Below are 24683 nucleotides of genomic sequence, written 5' to 3' on the forward strand. Positions count from 1 at the left end.
GATCACTAGAGCCCAGGAGTTTGAGACCAGCCTGGGCAACGTGGCCAAACCCCGTCTCTACAAAAAATACAAAAATTAGGTGGGTGTGGTAGCACACACCTATAGCCTGAGCTATTGGGAGGCTGCGGTACAAGGATCACCCGAACCCAAGGGAGGTCGAGGCTACAGTGAACTGTGATTGCACCACTGCCCTTTAGTCTGGGCAGCAGAGCGAGACCTTGTCTCAAAAAAACAGAAATAAAACAACAAAACATAAAAAGATGCTTCAATTTTGATTTCATAGCATTAATTTCTTTTCAGACATGAAGAAAATGAAGTTTCTGATAAACAAATCTGACTATAATGAGGCAACGGAGTATACCGAAAAGTGTGTGGCCTTTAGAATCTTACAGGGTTGGGTTCTAATGCCAGCTCAGCTACTTCCTGCGCTTATGGTTTAGGGTCCCATATGCTCTTAAGTTTTTTTCTTCAAAAGTAAAAGAGGACTGATAACATGCTTAGGGTTGTGAGAATTAAATGTAAATAAGTTTTCAGTACATATTTCTTCCCTCACCTTATTTACAGTAATGCTAGGTTGTTTATAGGCTCAGGAATGATGAGACCTAGTGTCAGTATAGTACAGATACATGTAAAACTGATCAAGAGTGATAACACTAATTTGCTTTAAATGGCTTTACACCATAGTGAATGAGTTATTTTATTTATAATTTGCTTTGTTCCAGAAAGTATTTTAGGCAGATTACAAATATTTTATAATAGAAGTAGCATAGATTAAAAAGTGATGGAGGGAGGCCGGGCACGGTGGCTCATACCTATAATCCCAGCACTTCGGGAGGCCGAGGCAGGTAGATCATCTGAGGTCAGCAGTTTGAGACCAGCCTGGCCAACATAGTGAAACCCCGTCTCTGCTAAAATACAAAACAAGCCGGGCACAGTGGCTCATGCCTGTAATCCTAGCACTTTGGGAGGCCGAGGCGGACAGGTCATGAGGTCATGAGGTCAGGAGATCAAGACCATCCGGGCTAACACGGTGAAACCCCGTCTCTACCAAAACTACAAAAAAAAAAAAAAAAAAAAAAAAAAAGCCGGGCATGGCGGCGGGCACCTGTAGTCCCAGCTACTCAGGAGGCTGAGGCAGGAGAATGGCATGAACCCAGGAGGCAGAGCTTGCAGTCAGCCGAGATGGCGCCACTGCACTCCAGCCTGGGCAAGAGAGCGACACTCCATCTCAAAAATAAATAAAAAAACAATTAGCTGAGTGTGGTGGCACACACCTGTAATCCCAGGTACTTGGGAGTCTGAGGCAGGAGAACTGCTTGAACCTGGGAGGTGGAGGTTGCAGTAAGCGGAGATTGTGCCACTGCACTCCAGCCTGGGCAACAGCAAGACTCCATCCCAAAAAAAAAAAAAAAAAAAAAAGTGATAGAGGGCACAATGACTCACGCCTGTAATCCCAGTACTTTGGGAGGCTAAGGCCGGTGGTTTACTTGAAGTCAGGAGTTTGAGACCAGCCTGGCCACCATGGTGAAACCCCATCTCTACAAAAATACAGAATTAGCGGGCGTGGTAGCTAGCACCTGTAATCCCAGCCGCTGGGAAGGCTGAGGCAGGAGAATCGCTTGAACCTGGAAGGTGGAGGCTGCAGTGAGCCAAGATCGTGCCACTGCACTCCAGCCTGGGCAACAGAGCGAGACTGTGTCTCAAAAAACAAAACAAAACAAAAAGTGATGGAGGAAGAGAATGGAAAACACACATTGGGACAAAATGGGATGAATGAAGGCAGAAAGCTCTGTGTGGCCATATATATATATATATATTTAATTGTTTTTAAACATGAGGATCACATTACCCTAAGCCTTCTAGCAGTCAGCTGAAGAGCCTTTATATCACACAATGTACATTGCTTATGAGATAAAAAGGATTATAATCAGTGAAGAAATTGAAAGTAGATTAGAATTAAATGAATCCTTTTCTCTATCTGCCACCTCACCCAGTACACACAAACCCTCAGGCCTAGGTGGTTTACACAGGTGAAATTTTTTAAACTTTAAAGGAATTAGATTTTGGTTGTACCAGAAGATAGGAAAAGAGGGAAGCTTCCCATATTGAAAGAAATGAATCATGTATACCTTCATAAACTGATGGCATAAAATATTCTGTAGAGTTGTGCTTCTCAAACTTTTTGGTTTCATAACTTCTTTATGCTCAAATTATTAAAGATCCCGGGAGTTTTTGTATCTACTGAGATTTACCGTATTAGAAATTAAAGATATTTATGAATTCATTTTAACATAATAATGTTAACATGTTTTAAAGTCTATAACGTCTATAGTTTCTAAAATAAAAGTTGTTGGAATGGCAGATCTGTCTGGTTTAATAGACATGACACTTGGATCCTCATATCTGTGATGTGCTGTTTTCAATAGCCTTTTTGGATAATGGTGCATATTCTTCTTAGAAACCACAAAAATTAGATGATTGCTAGTTTTTTACAGGTTGTAATGTGTAATCTGAAACCATATGAAGGAATATTTTATAGTGTACTATATTGAAATCCATTGTTCTGTCTTACACTTTGAATGGATCTTTTATCTGTGATGATTTTGTGATATTATGCATTGGTCATTTGAAAAATGCTGCTTCACTGAACAGATCTTCCAAATGTAATGTTTTATGTTATATAATTTGTACCACCACTGATCTCATCAGAAAAGCTTTTCAGTATTTTGAAACTGTTAAGCTCACGGTGGAGGATATAAGTTTTCTAATATTCTAATTTCTCTGGAAAGTTCCAATTTTATAATTGACAATAAATACTGTTGTTTTCCTTCAAGTGACAAGCTGACTTTGTTCCTATTTGAGAAAATGTCTGGAAAATACCCAAGTTTGGATGACTGTAGTTTGTTAGTTTTCTTTGCCGGTAAAAATAGTGGTCCATGAAAAAAGCAGCTGCCTCAGTTCGCAAGTCAAATCATTGCACATCTTCTCAAGATAACTATCATATTTTGTTGTACAGTAGAAGTGCTTATGAGTATTTCCCATTTCATCGCAGAGAATATTAAAAAGATACATACTCAAATATCAGAATTAAATGCCATTAACAATTTGTACTGCTTCAACAAGTACATTCTTTTTTTGAGAGAGTCTGGTTCTGTCACCCAAGCTGGAGGGCAGTGGTATAATCTCAGCTCACTGCAACCTCTGCCTCCCGGGTTCAAGCAATTCTCATGCCTCAGCCTCCTGAGTAGCTGGGACTACAGGTGCGCACCACCACACCCGGCTAATTTTTGTATTTTCAGTAGAGACAGGGTTTTGCCATGTTGGCCAGGTTGGTCTCGAACTCATGACCTCAGGTGATCCGCCCACCTTGGCCTCCCAAGTGCTGGAGTTACAGGCATGAGCCACTGCACCTCACTTAACAAGTACATTCTTAAGTGAAACTGGCTTTTCTCCCCACCCTGAAATTTGCATGATAATGAAGACTACATCCTGTTAATATAGTTTGTTGCCACTGAGTTGAATCATGTTAAGGTGCTGGTAGTTTTACCACTGGTTTTGTACCATTAGTGCAAATCAACACATGGAAAAAGGCAAATAATGGCTTAGTAATAGCTTTGACCTGCCAGACCTTGAAGTGTCTAGGGGACGCTCAGTGGTCCTTGGACCCCACTTGTGAAAACTGTTGCTGTATATCAGTCTTACATACGAATACTGATGTACAACATCTAACTTAACAAGTGGAAAATACAGCATTACATTGAAATAATAGTACTTTTATTAGGCTTGGATGGTATTCTTCCTTTGAATATAATGATGAATATGTATTAGGAAGTCTGTTGATAAAATTCACATTAAGTAGCCTGGGGAGAAAATGCAGATGATGATGGTTATAGAAGTTCTAAAAAATCAAAACTGATAAAACTAAAGCACTCTTAGAATATAAAAGCCACAAAAATTAAAATCCATAGTAGAGAGGAATAAATGAATGCTTCCTTAACAGGAAATATGTGTGAATTTGTATGTGTATATGTGAGTATATTTCTGTTATGTGTTTTTCAAACCCAAAGGCATCATTCTTCCCAGGGCTAAACAATGAATGTGCTCCCATTAAAATCAGAAAATAAAGTTACCCAATATTGTGTACTGTCATTATCATTTTAACATTGTTTAGTAATTGCCACATAATGTAACATACCACAGTGATAAAGATACATTTGAAAAAAATATAGATGAATTCTAACATGGGTTATATGATTTATATACCTGGAATACCTCAAAGAAACAACTGCTAAAACTGGTAGGAACCCTACGATCTCAGATGGCTACATATTATTAAATTTTTGTTTGTGGCCAGGAATGATGACTGACACCTGTAATGCTAGCACTTTGGGAGGCTGAGATGGGAGGATTGCTGGAGTCCAGTAGGTCAAGGTTGCACTGAGCCTTGTTTGCACCCCTGCACTCCAGCCTGGGTGACAGTGAGACCTTGTCTCAAAAATAAATAAATAAATAAAATTTGAAACCTTTCCTGTAATAAAGCTTTTCTTTCTTTTTCTTTTTCTTTCTTTTTCTTTTTCTTTCTTTCTTTTTTTTTTTTATTTGAGACAGAGCCTCGCTGTGTTGCCAGGCTGGAGTGCAGTGGCGCAATCTCGGCTCACTGCAACCTCTGCCTCCCAGGTTCAAGTGAGTCTCCTGCCTCAGCCTCCTGAGTAACTGGGACTAGAGGCGCACGCCACCATGCCCAGCTAATTTTTGTATTTTTAGTAGAGACGGGGTTTCACCATGTTGGCCAGGATGGCCTTGATATCGCGACCTTGTGATCTGCCCACCTCAGCCTCCTAAAGTGCTGGGATTACAGGCGTGAGCAACCGTGCCTGGCCTTTCTTTTTTTCCTTTTTTTTTTTTTTTTAAGATAAAGTCTTGCTGTCTGTCATCCAGGCTGGAGTGCAGTGGCCTGATCTCAGCTCACTGCAACCTCCACCTCCCAGGTTCAAGTGATTCTCTGCCTCAGCCTCCCAAGTAGCTGGGATTACAGGTGTGCGCCACCATGCCCAGCTAATTTTTGTGTTTTTAGTAGAGACAGGGTTTCCCCATCTTGCCGAGCCTAGTCTCAAACTCCTGCTCAAGCAATCCACCTGCATCGGCCTTCCAAAGTGCTGTGATTAGAGGCATGAGCCATCATGCCTGGCCAAGCTTTTCTAATTAATTGCTTAGAAAATATAATGGGCATGGGCCAGGTGCGGTGGCTCACGCCCATAATCCCAGCACTTTGGGAGGCCGAGGTGGGCGGATCACTAGGTCAGGAGATCGAGACCATCCTGGCTAACACAGTGAAACCCTGTCTCTACTAAAAATACAAAAAAATTAGCCGGGTGTGGTGGCAGGTGCTTGTAGTCCCAGCTACGTGGGAGGCTGAGGCAGGAGAATGGCATGAACCTGGGAGGTGGAGCTTGCAGTGAGCCGAGATGGTGCCACTGCACTCCAGCCTGGGCGACAGAGCAAGACACCATCTCAAAAAAAAAAAAAAAAAAGAAAGTAAATATAATGGGCTAAAAACATGTTTAAGGCTGGGCTCAGTGGCTTATGCCTGTAATCCCAATACTTTGATAGACTGAGGCAGGAGGATCACTTGAGGCTAGGAGTTTGAGGCCAGCTTGGGTCTCAAATTAGATGGATGTAGTGGCATATTCCTGTAGTCTCAGCTGGTAAGCTGAGGCAGGAGGATCATTTGAGACCGGGAGGTCGAGGCTTCAGGGAGCTATGATTGCATCACTGACCTCCAGCCTGGGGTAGCAGTGGAACCCTGTGTCTATTTAAAAAAAAAAACAAAATATTTAAAAAACAAAAAGCCCGTAAAGGAAATACACAAAATCTCACTGAAAATAGATAAATAAATAAATAAAGGAAAGAAATAGAAACACTAATTCTAAGATAGAAATATTAAGCATTGTAAAGGCAGTAGTTGGTTCTAAATCTATAAATTTAGAGTGGCGGTTGAATCCTAGCAGGATTCTCTTTTGGAGTGTTATAGTATTGATTATAATTCATGTGTAATAAAATTTTGAGGAGAATAAGTAAAGAGGTGGATAGGAGATTTGTCCTATCAGACTTTCAAGGAATATTAAAAGCACAATATGGTATTGACACCAGAGTAGATTGATGGAATCACGATAGATTCCCAAAGTATACCTCAGGTAATTGGGGATTTAGCATATACCTTAGTGTATGATGCATCTCAGTAGTAAATGGTGTTGGGAGTAGTTGACTGGCCACCAGGCACAGATTTTGTAAATGCAGTTATCAGTTGCTGTCATGTCTACCTCTCTAGTTTCTAGGAACTTTCCTTGCATCGGTATGTGTATTCCATTGTGTATCCTGCTTTCAGTTAGATAAATTCGGTACTCAGATATCTTTCAACATCACATATGATAAAATAATTGAAATTTTTATTGAAATAAAATTTCAATAAAATAAAATTTTATTGAAATAAAATTTTAGTATAATGAAACTGTTGTTTATTATAAGACTATTAATGGGCCAGATGCTAGCTCATTTAATTTCGTAGCTTCAAAATAAAATTAATCTTAAGTTTCCAAAAGAGGAGCAGATTCCTAAGCAATGTAATTTGACCGATGTCAGACAAGAGTCAAATATAAAACTTGCTTTTAAATTCTGTCTTCATTATACATAGGCAAAGTACCTTAGAACTGTATTGTGGACTGGGTGCAGCGGCCCATGCTTGTAATCCCAACACTTTAGGAGACTGAGGTGGGAGGATCACTTGAAGCCAGGCGTTCAAGACCAGCCTGGGCAACATAGCAAAAACCTGTCTACAGACAAACCTACCGCAGTATTATCTAGACCCAGGTTATGCTTCCAGCTGAGCCTCCCTGAGCCCTGTATTCCCCCTACACTGATTTACATAGTGTTCCTCCCAAATGTCTATACTTTGCTACTTCCATGCCTTTGCCTGTGTTCTCTCTTCTGGTAACATAATTTATCTTATTCCATTTCCCACCTGTCTATGGTTTACTTATCCTTGGAATTATAACCAAAATTCTTCACTCTTTCCCTAACTTAAGTTTTCTTGTATTTCTGCATCTTGAAAGTATCTTTGCCTTCCTGGATTCCAGTATGCTTTATACTTCTATTATAGTGCACAACAGTCTGCCTGGGGTTGATTAATTGTGTTTACATGGTTTCTTGGAAAAGTATACAAAAACAAGAAATAGAAAAGAGACCTGTAAACAACTAAAATACAGAGCAGGATGAAAGAAATGTCAAACCAGTAGCATGCAAGGAGTAATTCTGAGTAGCATTGGAGAATACAGAAGACTTTTATTAATTAGATTACTTTTGATCTGAATCTTGAGAAGTGAAAATAATTCAGCTATATAGAATTTAGGGAGAAGGAGCATTAGCATAGACATGAAGGAGTGGCCTGTGGGGAGAGATGCATTGGGAAATGAGACTAGGAAGGCAGATTGGGACCAGATCTAGAGAGCCCATGCTACAGGAGTTGGGCTTTCTTTTCAAGGGAGTAGGGTTGAGGAGGTTGTGAAAATTGGACTTTAAGACAAAAGAGAGTAGAACTATGTAAAGAATAAGTTCTTAGTATCTTTAAAGCTTGGGTTTATAAAAATGCTAAATATATTGAGACAAAAAAGTACATTTCAGTGACATACGGCTTTAAAAACATAAAAGGTCTCCTATAAATATGTGTTTCTGAGGTATCATTCTAAAGCTCAGCTAAAAAAATGTCTGGCAACTTGAGCCATTACTTGTTCATATACATTTATACATGCATTTGTATTTACGTATGTTTGGAATATTTTTACTTTTAATCAGTGATACATCAACGTTTTCTTTTTACATATGCAGACCAGCTGACAATTTTATATATAATAAACATCCTTGAAATTTGGTATACTAAAAATAAGTAGATTTAAGCAAATTTTCATCTACCTATTACTAAATCAGTTAGTTTTTAAATGTTTACCAGCTGGAGTTGCCTATTTGTTATAGCATTTCTTCTACAAATTACCATAACAAGGATTTACTAGTTAATGCTAAAATAATGAGGATTTTCAAGATACAGATAAACGAGAGTAAAGCAGTTAAAATTTCTTTATGACTTAAGATCAGCAGCACTACTTAAATTGAAGAACTTTAATGTTTCAAGAGTGTTATGTTTAGGGTCCTTCCATTGATGGCAGTTAGCAGTAGTCTTTACACTACAGTTACCTTCCTGAGGTCATATAGAAATCCGTTTCTGCTATTATTGTAGACTGCCTTATATTCATGGGAAGGAGGAGTGACAGGTACCAAAAAACCAGAGAGGGACATATATTCAACTCTAGTTCCTTAATTTATGGGCATAAATTTTTTATGTTGGTTTTAAGGTGTAAGTCACATATTTTGAGTGTCATCATGTTTTAAGATTTCATTTTGCAAATAATGAAAGTCCTCTAAGAATTGGAATGCTTGGATTGTTAAAAGTATCCACTGAAAATAAATTAATTTCTTAAATAATTAAATTCGGATGACTAAAATATTTAACGAGGGCCGGGCGTGGTGGCTCATGCCTGTAATTCCAGCACTTTGGGAGGCCTAGGCAGGTGGATCACTTGAGAACAGGGGTTCAAGACCAGCCTGGCCAACATGGGGAAATCCTGTCTCTACTAAAAATACAAAAACTAGCTGGGCCGTGGTGGCGCATGCCTATAATCCCAGCTACTCAGGAGGCTGAGGCAGGAGAATCACTTGAACCCAGGAGGCAGAGATTGCAGTGAGCTGAGATTGTGCCACTGTACTCCAGCCTGGGTGACAGAGTGAGACTCTGTCTCAAAAAAAAGAAAGAATAAAATAACAAAAGTTTTTATAGACCAAGGCTTCAATTTTTGTGTATTTAAAAATGAGTTGATGTTTTGTATAACAGTTGTATGTATTCTTTATGTAGTTGATAGTGATGTACTTCCTTTTGTGTGTTGCTTAGCCGAATATGTGGGAGTCCATGTCCTGCAGTGTGGCCTGATGTAATCAAACTACCATATTTCAACACCATGAAACCAAAGAAGCAATATCGTCGAAAGTTAAGAGAAGAATTTGTTTTGTAAGAAGGGGATGTGTAAACATCCTTATTGCATGAATGTTTTACTTTAATTCTAGTGAATTATAAATGTTAGTCTATTCTCTAGTGATCTGAGGTAAACCTATAATTCTTCTAGGGCATTTAATTTTGAGTTCTGTTTGCTACATGCAGATTACCATTTTACCATTATTATGGAATCAGTGATTTGAGATTGTGTGTTTGGTTTGGTGCTTACGTGAAAGAACTTTAATAAGATCATTTAAATGTTACTGGAACAGCTTTCAAGTTACTTGAGCTCAAGTTTTCATTTTGCTTTAGAAAAAACTATACTGTTCAGTTCTTAATTTGTATAATAACAGCAAATTACCGATAAGTAACAATATATACTATTGTTTAGAAAGTGGTTACAAAAATTATGTAAAAATGAAATATTTATTCAAAGGAAAATTCGGATTTATTGAAGTAAAGTATTATGCACATATTAAAAAAGTATTTACAATTATTTTTAAATGATCTTAGTTTTAGTTTTAAAATTTAATTAAAAATAATTTAAGCTCCTAAAGAAACATAAGCTTGTGTCTAAAGAACACATCTAACTTTTGTAATCCTCTCATGCTAGTATTCCTGCAGCTGCGCTAGACTTATTTGATTACATGCTTGCCTTGGATCCTAGTAAGCGCTGCACTGCTGAACAGGCTCTTCAGTGCGAGTTCCTCCGAGATGTGGAACCCTCAAAAATGCCTCCACCAGAGTAAGTGACTTTTTATCCTATTATTATTATATATTATTATTATATTTATTATATTAAAACAGTTTTAATAACATATATAATAAGATATTTCATGTCTGGTTATGAGAAAAATATAATAAAGGAAAGATAAAACAGCAGTAATACACATAATTTGCACATCTGGGATATAGATGCTTGCTTAATGTTTACCCATAGGGCTAGCAAAAACAGCTGCCTTCTAGCTAATTTTAGGCTTGATTGACCTCAAGATTTAATAATATATTTCAACTCTAAGAAAATATTACTGCTGCCGGGCGCGGTGGCTCACGCCTATAATCCCAGCACTTTGGGAGGCCGAGGTGGGCGGATCATGAGGTCAGGAGTTTGAGACCAGTCTGGCCAACATGGCAAAACCCCGTCTCTACTAAAATTACAAAAATTAGCCAGACGTGGTGGCAGGCGCCTGTAATCCCAGCTACTTGGGAGGCTGAGGCAGGAGAATCGCTTGAACCCGCGAGGCGGAGGTTGCAGTGAGCCAAGATCATGGCATTGCACTCCAGCCTGGGTGACAAGAGCAAGACTCCGTCTCAAAAAAAAAAAAATATTACTGCTGTTGCTATTCTAATACTACTTCTACTAAATACTTAACACTACTACTGGTACAGCTATAGCCATAATTTTGAGTGCCATGCTAAGCATTTTTCATTTATTACATTAATCTTTATAACCTTATAAGGTAGGTATTAGTATTATTATCATCACCACTTCACAGAGGAGGAAGCAGGCTCAGAGAGGTTAAGAAACTTGCCCAAGAATACAAATCTAGTAAAGGGTACAGCCAGCTCTCAAATTCACATTAGTCCAATAAGTAAGAGAGGTTCTGAAAATACTTTATAGCATAGTATACAATATAAATTTCTTATCATTGAATGAAAAGAATGTTAGTATCAGAAGCCTGTATAGAAGGAATTATTGTCTGATGGGGGAAATATATAGAGTTTGGGAGTCAAAATAGCTGGCTTCTCTTGAACCTGTAACTTCAAATGGCTCCTGTTATTTCTCTAGGATTGATTTGGGGAGTAGGGGGGAAGGAAAACGTTCATTTGCATTCCTTGACAGGATCTAGAAACCTTGTAGGTATTTTCTTAGTAATTTTTATTTTATTTTTTTGTCTTGAGACAAAGTCTCACTCTGTCTCCCAGGCTGGGGTGCAGTGGCACGATCTCAGCTCACTACAACCTCTGCGTCTCAGGTTCAAGTGATTCTCCTGCTTCAGCCTCCCGAGTAGCTGGGATTACAGGCATGCACCACCACATCTGGCTAATTTTTGTATTTTTAGTAGAGATGGGATTTCACCATGTTGGCCAGGCTGGTCTTGAACTCTTGACCTCAGGTGATCCACCCACCTTGGCCTCCTAAACTGCTAGGATTACAGATTTGAGCCACCACGCCCAGCCTTTTCTTAATAATTTTTAAAATGATAAGGAGCATCATTAAAAGCAAGCCTATTATCTATAATAATAAAATGTTTCCATGTAATAAAAATAGCATATTTTAAATGAACAGACATGGGCTCTGGAGTTCAAATCCTGGTTCTTCTGCTTATCAGTTAGATAGTGCTTATTATATTTCTATGAGGCTGTCATATTCAGCTTCAGTAAGCTTTTATTGAGCTGTACATGGTTGGCCTTTATGGGATGATTTGGGAGCCAAAAAGGATCTATTACCTGACATCATGAGGGACCTGAATTTTTCACTGTTGAATTATTGTTTCATGTTTGCTTTTTTCTTAGTGTGTATCAGTAATCTTAAAACTTGGGCTCAGTACCCCTTCAAATAACATTTTTTAAACTTCTGATTTGGAAAAATTTCAACTCTATAGAAAAATAGGAAGAATAGTACAAAGAGTATTCATGTATATCCTTTACCTAGATTCAACAGTTAATAATAGTTGGACACATTTGCTTTATCACTGTCTACTTTTTTCCTGAACTAGTTGGATATCATGTTGTGGAGGTGACACTTATAAATATGTAATCATATCTGTAAGAACTAGGACTTTATTCTACATGCATACCATATAAAGCATATGAAATTTAACATGAGAATATTTAATGGTCAATCCACATTCAGATTTCCCCAGTTGACCCAATAATTTCTCTTATAGACTTTTTTTTTTAAGATAAAGAATTTTTCAAAGTTCAGCATTCTGTTTATTTGTTATGTCCTTTTCATCTTTAATCACTCTCTAGGGAAGAGATCTTTTGACATTCAACATTTTTTAAGATTCCAAGCTAGCTCTTTGGTAAAATATTTCACAATTTGGATTTGATTGCCTTCTTTTTATCAGAATTAGATTAAGAGTTTGGGGGGCAAGAATGTAATGTTGATGGTGATCCTGCTCTGTGATAATTATGTTCAAGAGAACATAATGTTACTTTGTACCATTATTATTGGTAATGGTAACTTTGACCAAGAGATGTAACCACTGTACTTAAAAATGTCAACATAGTAAATGCTGACATTTTTAAGTAGAGCAATTATATCACTCTTGTAAATATATCAAGTGGAAAGCAACTATCATAGCATTTTGATATCCACCACCAATAGTCATTTGGAAAATGTTGAGCAGTTGTACGTTGTTCCATTTTCATCTTGAACTTATGTTACTCCCGTAGGCTTTTATTCTAATGTAAAGTATTTATGCTAGAAAGTATTTTATTGATTACTGTATCATATATTTTAAAAAACAAATACATGTATATAAATGGAAATTAAATTTCACGTTTCCTGTGACTAAAAGCTCTTTTCTTGATTAAATTGTCATTGTAAATATCAGTAATGAATATTTCCTTATTTATTTATTGATTGATTGATGGAGTTTTACTCTTGTTGCCTCAGCCTCCTGAGTACCTGGGATTACAGGCATGCGCTACCACGCCCGGCTAATTTTGTATTTTTAGTAGAGACAGGGTTTCTCCATGTTGGTCAGGCTGGTCTCGAACTCCAGACCTCAGGTGATCCGCCTGCCTTGGCCTCCCAAAGTGCTGGGATTACAGGTGTGAGCCACCGTGCCCAGCCCAAATATTTCCATTTTAAATAAAGAAAAAATTAGTAAATTTTGTTGGAAGTACAACCTAATGAAAGAGAGGGCTGAGATTTTTTTCCCAAGTAGTTTGCATATCTGTTGATTAATATTGCTTATTCTAGAATGAGACATATTTCCATATGAATTCCAATTTTATTTTTTAGTTCTATAAGTATGCTTGTAAATTAGCATTTGAGAATGTAAGGAGTTTTGTCATAGTTATATCACTGAGTTCTTGGAACTCCTTCGACATTATGTGTGAAAAGCCTTTCATCAAAAATGATTTTAGGCTGGGCGCAGTGGCTCACGCCTGTAATCCCAGCACTTTGGGAGGCCAAGGCGGATAGATCACAAGGCCAGGAGTTCAAGACCAGCCTGGCCAGGATGGTGAAATCCTGTCTCTACTAAAAATGCAAAAATTAGCCAGGTGTGGTGGCGGGTGCCTGTAATCCCGGCTACTCGGGAGGCTGAGGCAGAGAACTGCTTGAACCTGGGAGGCAGAGGTTGTAGTGAGCCAAGATGGCGCCACTGCACTCCAGTCTGGGCGACAGAGTGAGACTCCATTTCCAAAAAAAAAAAAAAAAAAAAAAAAAAAGATTTAAAGGACGGGCACAATGGCTCATGCCTGTAATCTCAGCACTGCAGGAGGATCACTTGATGCCAGCAGTTTGAGATCAACCTGGCCGACATGGCGAAACCCTAGCTGTACTAAAAATACAAAAATTAGCTGGGCATGGTGGCGTGTGCCTGTAATCCCAGCTACTCAGAAGGCTGAGGCAGGAGAGTCACTTGAGCCTGGGAGGTGGAGATTGCAGTGAGCCAAGATCTTGCCGCTGCACTCCAGCCTGGGTGACAGAGCAAGACTCTGCCTCAAAAAAAAAAAAAAAAAAAGTTATTTTAGGCCGGGTGCAGTGGCTCATGCCTGTAATCCCAGCACTTTGAGAGGCCAAGGCAGGTGGATCCCTTGAGCCCATGAGTTTGAGACCAATCTGGGCAACATGGTAAAATCCTATCTCTACTAAAAATACTAAAAAATTAGCCAGGCGTGGTGGCACACGCCTGTAATCCCAGCTACTCCAGAGGGTGAGGCACGAGAATTGCTTGAGCTTGGGAAACGGAGGCTGCAGTGAGCCGAGATCGCGCCACTGCGCTCCAGCTTGGGCAACAGAGTGAGACTCTGTCTCCAAAAAAAAAAAAAAAAAAAGATTCTAATGACCTTCTAGGTGTTAAGATTCTTTCTCCTTCAGTTTTTTGGATAGTAAAGAATTGGAGGCTGGGCATGGTGACTCATGCCTGTAATCCCAGCACTTTGGGAACCAACGCAGGAGGATTGCTTGAGGCCAGGAGTTTGAGACCTACCTGGGTAACATAAGGAGACCCTGTCTTTACAAAAAAAAAAAAAAAAGATGAAGAATTAGAGATCACATGATCTAAAGAAGGATTTCTTGTCTAGTAATTATTTGCCTTTTCAGTTGTCTTACCAATGCTTATGAAATGACATTTTCTAGTACTTGTTACTGTTTCTTTTCACAGCACATTTAATCCAGTATACCTAGAAAAGATTAGGAAATCAGCATGTAATATCAGTGCTACTTTGCCAGTCCATTTTTAAAATTGTTTCTTAATTATGTTTTTTAAGTATTTTGCCAAAACTTGGAACTATAGGTTTATCCCACTCAATTTATGGGAAATGCCTACCTTATATTCTAATCATAAACTGTGTCCTTATTGTAAAGCAAATCACCTAAATCAGACTTAATTTTATCAGAACACACCTGACTGCATTTTTTCATTAAAAACAAACATGTTAAAAACACATTCAAGGAACATTCTGTAAGCTATCTGTAACAAATTATGGAATGTATCTTGTTAGATACATTACTAAAGCAATCAAGTAAAGAGTATCAGATTGATCCAATATTTAAATAAAAACATTTTATAAACAATATAATATAATATCTCTCACTATTTTGCAATATGATATAATGAGTAGTTAAAATTATGCATTACTTATGAGGTAAGGACTATGAAGAAATACATGGTATTCCTTTAGAAAGTTGGAAGGTGTATCAAACTCTTTTGATCAATTTTTTAGGAATAATCAAATGAGAGAATGGGGTATTTAAAAATCGGAAATAGGCTGGGCACGGTGGCAGTGGCTCATGCCTATAATTCCAGCACTTTGGGAGGCCGAGGCGGACCTATCACTTGAGGCCGGGAGTTCAAGACCAGCCTGGCCAACATGGTGAAACCCCGTCTCTAGTAAAAATACAAAAATTAGGCCGGGCGCAGTGGCTCACACCTGTAATCACAGCAGTTTGGGAGGCCGAGGTGGGCAGATCACGAGGTCAAGAGATTGATACCATCCTGGCCAACATGGTGAAACCCCATCTCTACTAAAAATACAAAATTAGCAGGGTATGGTGACACATGCCTGTAATCCCAACTACTTGAGAGGCTGAGGTACAAGAATTGCTTGAATCCAGGAGGCAGAGGTTGCAATGAGCTGAGATCACACCATTGCACTCCACCCTGGGTGACAAGAGTGAAACTCTGTCTCAAAAACAAACAAAAAAGTTAGAAATAACTCCATTAATTGTATTAGATGCCCTGTCAAACGTAAAGTATATATAGCTGGAAAGTGAATTAGACTAGCAGCCAGCCTGTAAGCTTTCTTTAACAGCAAGTAAAAAGCATTAAGCCATTTATAAGACAAAATATCAGTTGCCATTAGAATGAATATTTCACAATAATGATTTGATGGAAATAGTTGTAAACTATGAATTAAATGATCAGTGATGTCAAACATGAATTAATACATTGCCTACTTTGTAAGAGGCACTGCTGAAGAGCTTGCACATGTTAACATACAGTACTACCCCATGAGGTAGATAGTATTGTTAATCCCATTTTTAAAGACAAGGAAAATGAGGCACAGAGGTCCAGTTATTTGCCTAAGACACATCAAGTAAGTGACTGAGCTGGCATTTGAACCTTCAAGAAAGCAAATAAAAGTTTGGTTATCTGGAAGACATTCCTGATCCATCTGAAAGTATCAGCATCAGTAACCTGTACTATTTTAGCTATTTCTTGGGTAAAATTTATCTTTCCTAGAGATGAGTATTAAGATCATCCATAAAGAATCTCTTACTTTTAAGGGGGCCAGGTACGGTAGCTCATGCCTGTAATCCCAGCACTTTGGGAGGCCAAGACTGGCAGATCACCTGAGGTCAGGAGTTCAAGACCAGCCTGGTCAACATGGGGAAACCCCGTCTCTACTAAAAATACGAAAATTAGCCAGGCATGGTGGCATGTGCCTGTAATTCCAGCTACTGGGGAGGCTGAGGCAGGAGAATTGCTTGAACCTGGGAGGCGGAGGTTGGAGTGAGCCGGGATAGCACCACTGCACTCCAGCCTGGGTGACAGAGCACGAGAGCAAGATTCCATCTCAAAAAAAAAAAAAGGAAAGAAAATAATCTCTTACTTTTAAATTGTGGGAGGGAACAAAAGCCCTTTTTAATGGATTACTTTGCTTTGCTCTCATGGGGCTGTCCTTCAAGAGCAATGCATTCCCTGAGCTTCAGGATAGAAAGGTGGAATCACTCCAGTTACCCCACTGTGCAGTACTACAGTATATCTGAATTTAAGGTATCCCAACAGAGACTGAGACCCACATCATATCATACAAACACTTAGAAAGGAAATTCTTTGGCGGGTTTATGATGCCTGAAAGCTTCCCAATATCGATATTTCAAATTGTCCCTTTGTTTGTTACTCCAGGAGGTTTTTACACGCTGAGGCAATGCATCATAGTAAGATGGCTGAGAGGTATGCCTTTGTTTTGTTTTTGGACCTCAGGTGCATAGACTTGGTTTAATCATAATCCTTGTGTCACTCATCATTGGTCCATGCATGGCTCTCTTTTATTTATTTTAGTTACTTTAGTTATTTTTAATAATGTTAATAAGCAGCCATGAACCTACCAAACAAAAGCTAGAATGCTGAAAATAACATACTGTAATCATATTACCCCTACCCCCACCAACCTATCCCCTTGCCTTCCTCCACCTGAGGTAACCATCATCCCTGTTTTCTTTTGTATATACTTTTTGTTGCCATCTATATGTACTCATAAAAGGTTATATTTTAAAAATTTTAGTTGTTAATTTTATAAAAGCGCGTCATGCTGTTTGTAATATTTTGGGAATGACTTTTTAAACTAATATTGCTAAGATTCAACCATATTATTGCATCTGCCTTTATTTTATAACATGACTAATTGTGAAAGAGGAGATGTAAAAGAACTTGCTTAAACAAGCAGGCCATCCTCAAAGCTCAGTCTTAGGAAAGCAGACATATGGATATGGAAATTCCTTTAAAAAAATTCCAGGTGTACCCTCTTGGAGAGTCTTCGGGTACCTCCTAGAGGTAAACAGATCCAGGTTGAGGATTATAGGTATATATTACCAGGTGGGGTTGCTTAAGGGAATTTGTAGATATTCTGGGCAAGTTTATTCACCTTTCTAAGCCTCAAGTTTCTCATCTTTAAAATAGGTACAACAGTAACGTTCCATTAAATACTTAATTAGGGTAAGAAGAAAGCATTTATAAACCAAATATTTGTATCTTTAAGCAAAAGTTATTCTCTAGTGTTATCAGTTGTATGAAGTTACTTTAAGATAGAATTGACTAGGAATTGTGGGCAGTTTTGATAGTTGTTATTCGCAACTCTGTTGATAAATGATGAGCCGCTCTATGCCAGGATTACCTATTTTGAAAACTCGTCTGTAGCATCAGTTTAATTCTAGAGCATTTGGATAGACAAGCAAGTTAGTAAAAAGTAAGCTTTTACTGTTAAGTTCTTCACAAATGTTATGTTCTAGCCTTACTCTTTTTTTTTTTTTTTTTTTTTGAGATAGGGTCTGGCTCTGTCACCCAGGCCAGAGTGCAGTGGCATGATCTTGGCTCTCTGCAGCCTCTGCCTCCTGGGCTGAAGCCATCCTCCCACCTCAGCTTCCCGAGTAGCTGGGACTACAGACATGTGCCACCATGACTGGCTAATTTTTTTATAGAGACAGGGTTTCAGCATGTTGCCCATGCTGGTGAACTCCTGAGCTCAAGTGATCCACCCACCTTAGCCTCCCAAAGTGCCAGGATTACAGGCATGAGCTGCTGCGCCTGGCCCTTTACTACTTTTTTATCCCATATCTGGTTTCTGCAAATGGCATGTTTTTCTTTTTTGTGTGACAGGGCCTGGTTCTGTCGCCTAGGCTGGAGTGCAGTTACATGATCTCAGCTCACTGCAACCACCACCACCTGGGCTCAAGCTATTCTCCCACTTCAGCCTCCCAAGTAGCTGGGACTGCAGTGCACAACATCATGCCCAACTAATTTTTGTATTTTTGGCAAAGACAGGGTTTTGCCATGTTGCCCAGGCTGGTCTTGAACTCCTGGGCTCAAGCAATCCTCCCGTCTTGGCCTCCCTAAGCACTGGGATTATAGGCGTGAGCCACTGTGCCTGGCTGGAAATGGCATATTTTTCTGCCTTCTTTTTCATGTCTTATTCAGTGTATGATGTACTATCATAAGAACTGACTTTGAAAGGTTGCACCAACAGCAATAGTGGTGTTTTTTTTTTTTTTTTTTTTGAGACGGAGTCTCGCTGTGTCACCCAGGCTGGAGTGCAGTGGCGCAATCTCGGCTCACCGCAACCTCCACCTCCCGGGTTCATGCCATTCTCCTGCCTCAGCCTCCTGAGTAGCTGGGATTACAGGTGCCCGCCACCACGCCTGGCTAATTTTTGTATTTTTAGTAGAAACGGGGTTTTGCCATGTTGGCCAGGCTGATCTCAAACTCCTGACCTCAGATGATCCACCTATGTCGGCCTCCCAAAGTGCTGGGATTACAGGCATGCCCAGCATAGTAGCCTATTTTTATGAATATATATTCTTCATTCATAATTTTGATAAATGATTATTTATTGATTATTCAAAAGCCAAAGAAAAATAGATTATCTGTAAAGGCAAAGCAAGCCCTGAAGGAAGTGGGACAATAAGGATGATTTTTATTGGAAGAGTTTTACAGAGCCATTCTATGAAGTCTTCAAGAACTATTTGGGGTGGGGGCATAACTTTGTTGCTATATAGTAACTGTAGCATTTTTTGTTAAGAAATGCCATTTACAATTTAATTCCTTTTTTTTTTTCAGTCTCCCTTTATGGCAAGATTGTCATGAGTTATGGAGTAAAAAGCGAAGAAGACAGAAGCAGATGGGCATGACTGATGATGTTTCCACAATTAAAGCCCCCAGGAAGGACTTGTCTCTGGGCTTGGATGACAGCAGAACCAACACACCCCAGGGTGTGCTGCCATCTTCACAGCTGAAATCTCAGGGCAGCTCAAATGTGGCACCTGGTCAGTAATGCTTCCATGGGTTGGTTTTCTTCACATTGTTTTGCAGTTAATTCTGATCATATTGCTCTAATGTTAAAGCATCTTGTGGCTAACAATGAAAATTAACATTTATTCACTGAACTAGACATTTCTTTGTGCCAGTACAGAAGTTTCATTGCTATTGGCACCACAATTTTAAGTAATCTTAAGGTAACTTATAAAGAAGCATCAAATTACCTGACTGGCAAGTCCTCGGATTTCTGTATTTCCTTTTTACTCTTAGTGCAGGAGTGAGTAGGTCTTTTACTGACACTACTCTCAGTGAGGCTCAGCATTCAATGTCTATAGATGCTTAAGCAGTAGGAAGAAAGGTATAAGAAAACAGCCAAAAATCATAATGAGAGCTCTTTCATACCATTTATAGCGTCCTCATGTCACTCCTAATGTTATAATTTCTCTGGTTATATTAAAGAATCTTAAAGATTGGGGCCAGGCATGCTGGCTCACGCCTGTAATCCTAGCACTTTGGGAGACTGAGGCGGATGGATCACCTGAGATCAGGAGTTCGAGACTAGCCTGGCCAACATCGCGAAACCCCGTCTCTACTAAAAATACAAAAATTAGCCGGGCGTGGTGGCACACACCTGTAATCCCAGCTACTCGGATGCTGAGGAAGAAGAATCGCTTGAACTGGGGAGGTGGAGGTTGCAGTGAGCCGAGATTGCGCCACTGCACTCCAGCCTGTGCGACAGGAGCGAGACTCCATCTCAAAATATGTGTGTGTGTGTGTGTGAGTGAATCTGATATTTGTGCCCAAAATAACTTAAAATATGAGAAGGGAAGGCCAGGCATGGTGGCTCACATCTGTAATCCCAGCTCTTTGGGAGGCCACGATGGGCAGACCACTTGAGCCCATGAGTTCGAGACCAGCCCAGACAACTTCCTGAAACTCTGTCTCTACTAAAAATACAAAAAAAAAATTAGCTGGGCATGGTGGCACACACCTGTAATCCCAGCTACTCAGGAGGCTCAGGCACGATAATTGCTTGAACCCAGGAGGCAGATGTTGCAGTGAGCCAAGATTGAACCACTGCACTCCAGCCTGGGTGACAGAGCGAGACTGTCTCAAAAAAAAAAAAAAAAAGGATATCTTATATCTAGTTATTTTAGGGAAACTTAAATTTCTTCCTTTGACTCAGTCTGTCATAGAGTAAGCTTTTTGATGCAAAGTCTGCCTCTTCAATGTTGTCAAGAGTGTTAAAATCATTTAACAACTTTTTAAAAGGACCTCCACTCCCTCATTTTGCCTAAAACATCCAGAAACACCCATCTTTAATTTAACACCATCTTTAGTTGAAGTTTTATGAAAACAGAGACTGATATAAAATAGAGAGAGAGAGAGAGAGAGAGAGAGTGTGTGTGTGTGTGTGTGTGTGTGTGTGTGTAGGTGGTGGCTTATTAAACATGAAAAAATAGACTAGCACTTCTTAAGAGATGAGTATATGTTGATTGATGAGTTAGTTGATTAAAACAGATGTGTGGATCAGACTGAACTTTTGGTGGTTGAAGATAAATATAGATTAACTGAGAAAGCTTTAGGAAGATAACCATTAATGCTTGCCAATGTAGTCTACAAGCTTCTACTTGACCTTGGTTCAACTGCATACTTAAAGTACTCATTCAATGAATACCAAAAGCAATTGTTATTTGTTGTTCAAAAGTATTCTTTCTTGAAATAGTGAGTTCCCCTTATACATTAAAATATTTGTCCTGCTAACAAAAGGATGTGAAATGGCAATAACAGAAATTTTGGATGGTGATCTGTTTTCCCAGGCAACAGTTGTCATATTTGGCAAGACTCTCAGGTCTTTATTTCTGGTCCTCTTCATGGAACTGATGTCTTAAACTCTACCAAACGTAGTAGTTTACTCATTTTAGCTGGTAAAAAATGATTTGCCCTTTCTGGGCTCATTTTGTTGTTAATTTGCTCTAACTTACTTTACAACCCTGTTTTAATGGTGGATAATTTTATTTTTTATTTTCCTTTTTTAACTTTAATTTTTTTTTGAGACAGTCTCTGTCACCCAGGCTGGAGTACAGTGACACGATCTCAGCTCACTGCAATCTCCGCCTCCCAGGTTCAAGTGATTCTCCTGCCTCAGACTCCAGAGTAACTGGGATTACAGGCATGTGCCATCACGCTCAGCTAATTTTTGTATTTTTAATAGAGATGAGGTTTTGCCATGTTGGCCAGGCTGGTCTCGAACTCCTGACCTTGAGTTATCTATAAATAGCTGGGTGTGGTGGCTCATGCCCGTAATCCCAGCACTCTGGGAGGCCGGGGCGGGCTGTTTGCTTATGTTCGGGATTTCGAGACCAGCCTAGGTAACATGGCAAAACCCCGTCTCTACAAAAAATACAAAAATTAGCCTGGCCTATATTCCCAGTTACTTGCGGGGCTGAAGCAGGAAAGATTGCTTGAGCCTAGGAGGTCGAGACTGCAGTGAGCTGAGATTGTGCCACTGGCACTGTGGCCTGGATGATAAAGTGAGACCCTGTCTTAAAAAATCAAGAGAAAAGAGAAGAATCAGTATTGTGATTAAGAAGTGAGAATTCCAGGCTGGGCATGGTGGCTCATGCCTGTAATCCCAGCACTTTGGGAGGCCGAGGTGGATGGATCACCTGAGGTCAGGAGTTCGAGACCAGCCTGGCCAACATGGCAAAACCATGTCTCTACTAAAAATAAAACAACTGGCCGGGCATGGTGGCTCACGCCTGTAATCCCAGCACTTTGGGAGGCTGAGGCGGGCGGATCATGAGGTCAGGAGATCGAGACCATCCTGGCTAACACGGTGAAATCCCATCTCTACTAAAAATACAAAAAATTAGCCGGGCGTGGTGGTGGCAGGCGCCTGTAGTCCCAGCTACTCGGGAGGCTGAGGCAGGAGAATGGCGTGAACCCAGAAGGCGGAGCTTGCAGTGAGCCGAGATCGTGCCACTGCATTCCAGCCTGGGCCACAGGGCGAGACTCCGTCTCAAAAAAAATAAATAAATAAAACAATTAGCCAGGCATGGTGGCACGCGCCTGTAATCCCAGCTCCTAGTGGGGGCTGGGGCAGGAAAATTGCTTGAACATGGGAGGCAGAGATTACATATCATGCCACTGCACTCCAGCCTGGGGAACAGAGCAAGACTCTGTCTCAAAAAAAAAAAAGAAGGAGAATTCTGGTTTTTTGAAAAAAGGATGAATCCTCTGAGTCATTTTCTTCTCCGTCATCAGTAAGTATGCTGAAATAAGAAAACGCCCCTTCAGCAAAAGAGGCACCTCAATTAAAGACCACATCCCTGAATTCATATGGAGAGACTACCTGTGGTAATAGGGAAATGAAAATAAGGAAAAATGACTTTTGATTTGTAGCAAACAAGCATGCTCACGGATCATAAGAAGAACTTGCAGAAGTATCTCAAAATATATAAAGAGAATATAAAAGCATTAAACACCAGTTTTTCATCATCTTAGAGTTCCTCTTCTATCAATCTGTCATCTGTGATTATGGGAATTGCTTATCATTGCAGTCTTATAGTTACCATATATGGTATTATATGCATTTGAGCCTTGTCGTTATATGTGATTCAGATAAGCTTGCGTGAGGGAGGACCTGTGTAAATTATCCCAAGTCTAAACTGAAAGTTGGAAAAACAACTGAATCCTTATTACTGGTGATGAGTTAATACTATCATATGCATATATTAATAATAAGCATATTTCTGTAGGCATTCCTAACTTACCCAAAGTTACAAAAAAAAAAAGGTAATTTGAAGAAAAACACAGGCATTTTATCAGAATCTGAAAAATGTCATGATTTCAATATAGTGCAAAGATAACCTTAGATTTTGCATAATAAACTTTATTTTAGAGAAAGTACGGTGTAGTTAAGAGCTCAGATTGTGGAATCAGAATATCAGATTCAGATCTCACCTCTGCCACTTACAGAATATTTGCCCTTGGGCAAGTTGCTTGGTCTCTTTCGGTGTCAGTTTCTTCTTCTCAGTAAAAGGAGGCTAATAATAGAGTCTGCCTTCTAAGGTTGTTGTAAGGAATAAAGGATATTAAATGCTTAGAAGGTATGTGACACTCCCTTAGCTGTCATCATTATCATTATTCATTTCCCATTCACAATGTGCTGTTTCCTGGTTAAATCCATAACATGAGGTTTTAGTAGTGGTCTTGATTTTCCTTTTGAAGTATTTACCCCTAAAGATTTATTCAAAATTGACTGCAGTTCTTTTTATGTACAGGTACATTTTAAATGTACATGATATTTAACTAGACTTGAGGTTCTCTTTTTACAGTATTTCTTAAATACTCTCCCTCAAATATATATTTTCATATGGTAATACAGAGCCATTTTGGTGTGGGAGTGGGAGGAGCTGTGAATTATGACAGTTCTAATTAATATAATTTTGTCTTTAGTAAAAACAGGCCCTGGACAGCACTTAAACCACAGTGAATTGGCAATTCTACTAAACCTACTACAATCTAAAACAAGTGTTAATATGGCTGATTTTGTCCAAGTGTTGAACATTAAGGTAAACTCTGAGACTCAACAGCAGCTAAATAAAATAAACCTTCCTGCTGGAATTTTGGCAACAGGTGAAAAACAGACAGATCCATCAACACCACAACAGGAGTCTTCGAAACCGTTGGGAGGAATTCAGCCTTCTTCTCAGACCATCCAGCCTAAAGTGGAGACTGATGCTGCCCAGGCGGCTGTGCAGAGTGCATTTGCAGTTCTGTTGACTCAGTTAATAAAGGCTCAGCAGTCAAAGCAGAAAGATGTGCTACTAGAAGAGAGGGAAAATGGATCGGGACATGAAGCGTCATTACAACTCAGGCCACCTCCAGAACCTAGCACTCCGGTGTCGGGTAAGTGTGCAGATACCAGACCACTAACACAGCTGCATTACATTGTCTACTCAGTGTTGCTGACTATATATAATGTGTATAGTTCAGTGACATTGCCAAAAGATGTCCTGAAGAATCTCAGGTAACTGGCAATAGGTTGGTTTTTCAGTCTGTTTACTTCCAGGAATGGATTCTTTAACAAATTATCCATGTGAGATAGAACTCATTGTGAATGATAAAGATATTTCTAAGGTAAACCTATGGTTAAGAAATAATATTTAACTCCAAATACGAAAGGATGCTTGACTAAGGCATAATTTATGTACACAGTAGCTTTTGTTCCTCAAGCAATGAAGTATACGTGAATTCTGCACCTAGCCGTAATTAGCTTTAAAAAGCCAATTACGGCTGGGTGCAGTGGCTCACACCTGTAATCCCAGCACTTTGAGAAGCTGAAGTGGGAAGATTGCCTGAAC

The 24683-nt window shown here is 39.4% G+C and overlaps 1 protein-coding gene across 4 annotated transcripts in view; it reads left to right on the top strand.

Moving 5' to 3' along the window:
* CDK13 (cyclin dependent kinase 13) overlaps positions 1-24683 on the top strand; it is a 149325-nt gene that overhangs the window by 118754 nt on the left and 5888 nt on the right. For 2 of the 4 annotated variants that reach the window (XM_017012750.3, NM_003718.5), the window contains 4 exons: positions 8996-9112; positions 9711-9842; positions 19117-19322; positions 23776-24228. In XM_017012750.3, the coding sequence (XP_016868239.1) occupies positions 8996-9112; positions 9711-9842; positions 19117-19322; positions 23776-24228 (908 nt within the window). The remainder of the gene's footprint in view (positions 1-8995; positions 9113-9710; positions 9843-19116; positions 19323-23775; positions 24229-24683) is intronic. The other 2 variants (XM_017012751.3, NM_031267.3) reach the window with 1 other exon arrangement.

The sequence above is a fragment of the Homo sapiens genome, chromosome 7, assembly GCF_000001405.40.
Source record: "Homo sapiens chromosome 7, GRCh38.p14 Primary Assembly".
Classification (NCBI taxonomy): domain Eukaryota; kingdom Metazoa; phylum Chordata; class Mammalia; order Primates; family Hominidae; genus Homo; species Homo sapiens.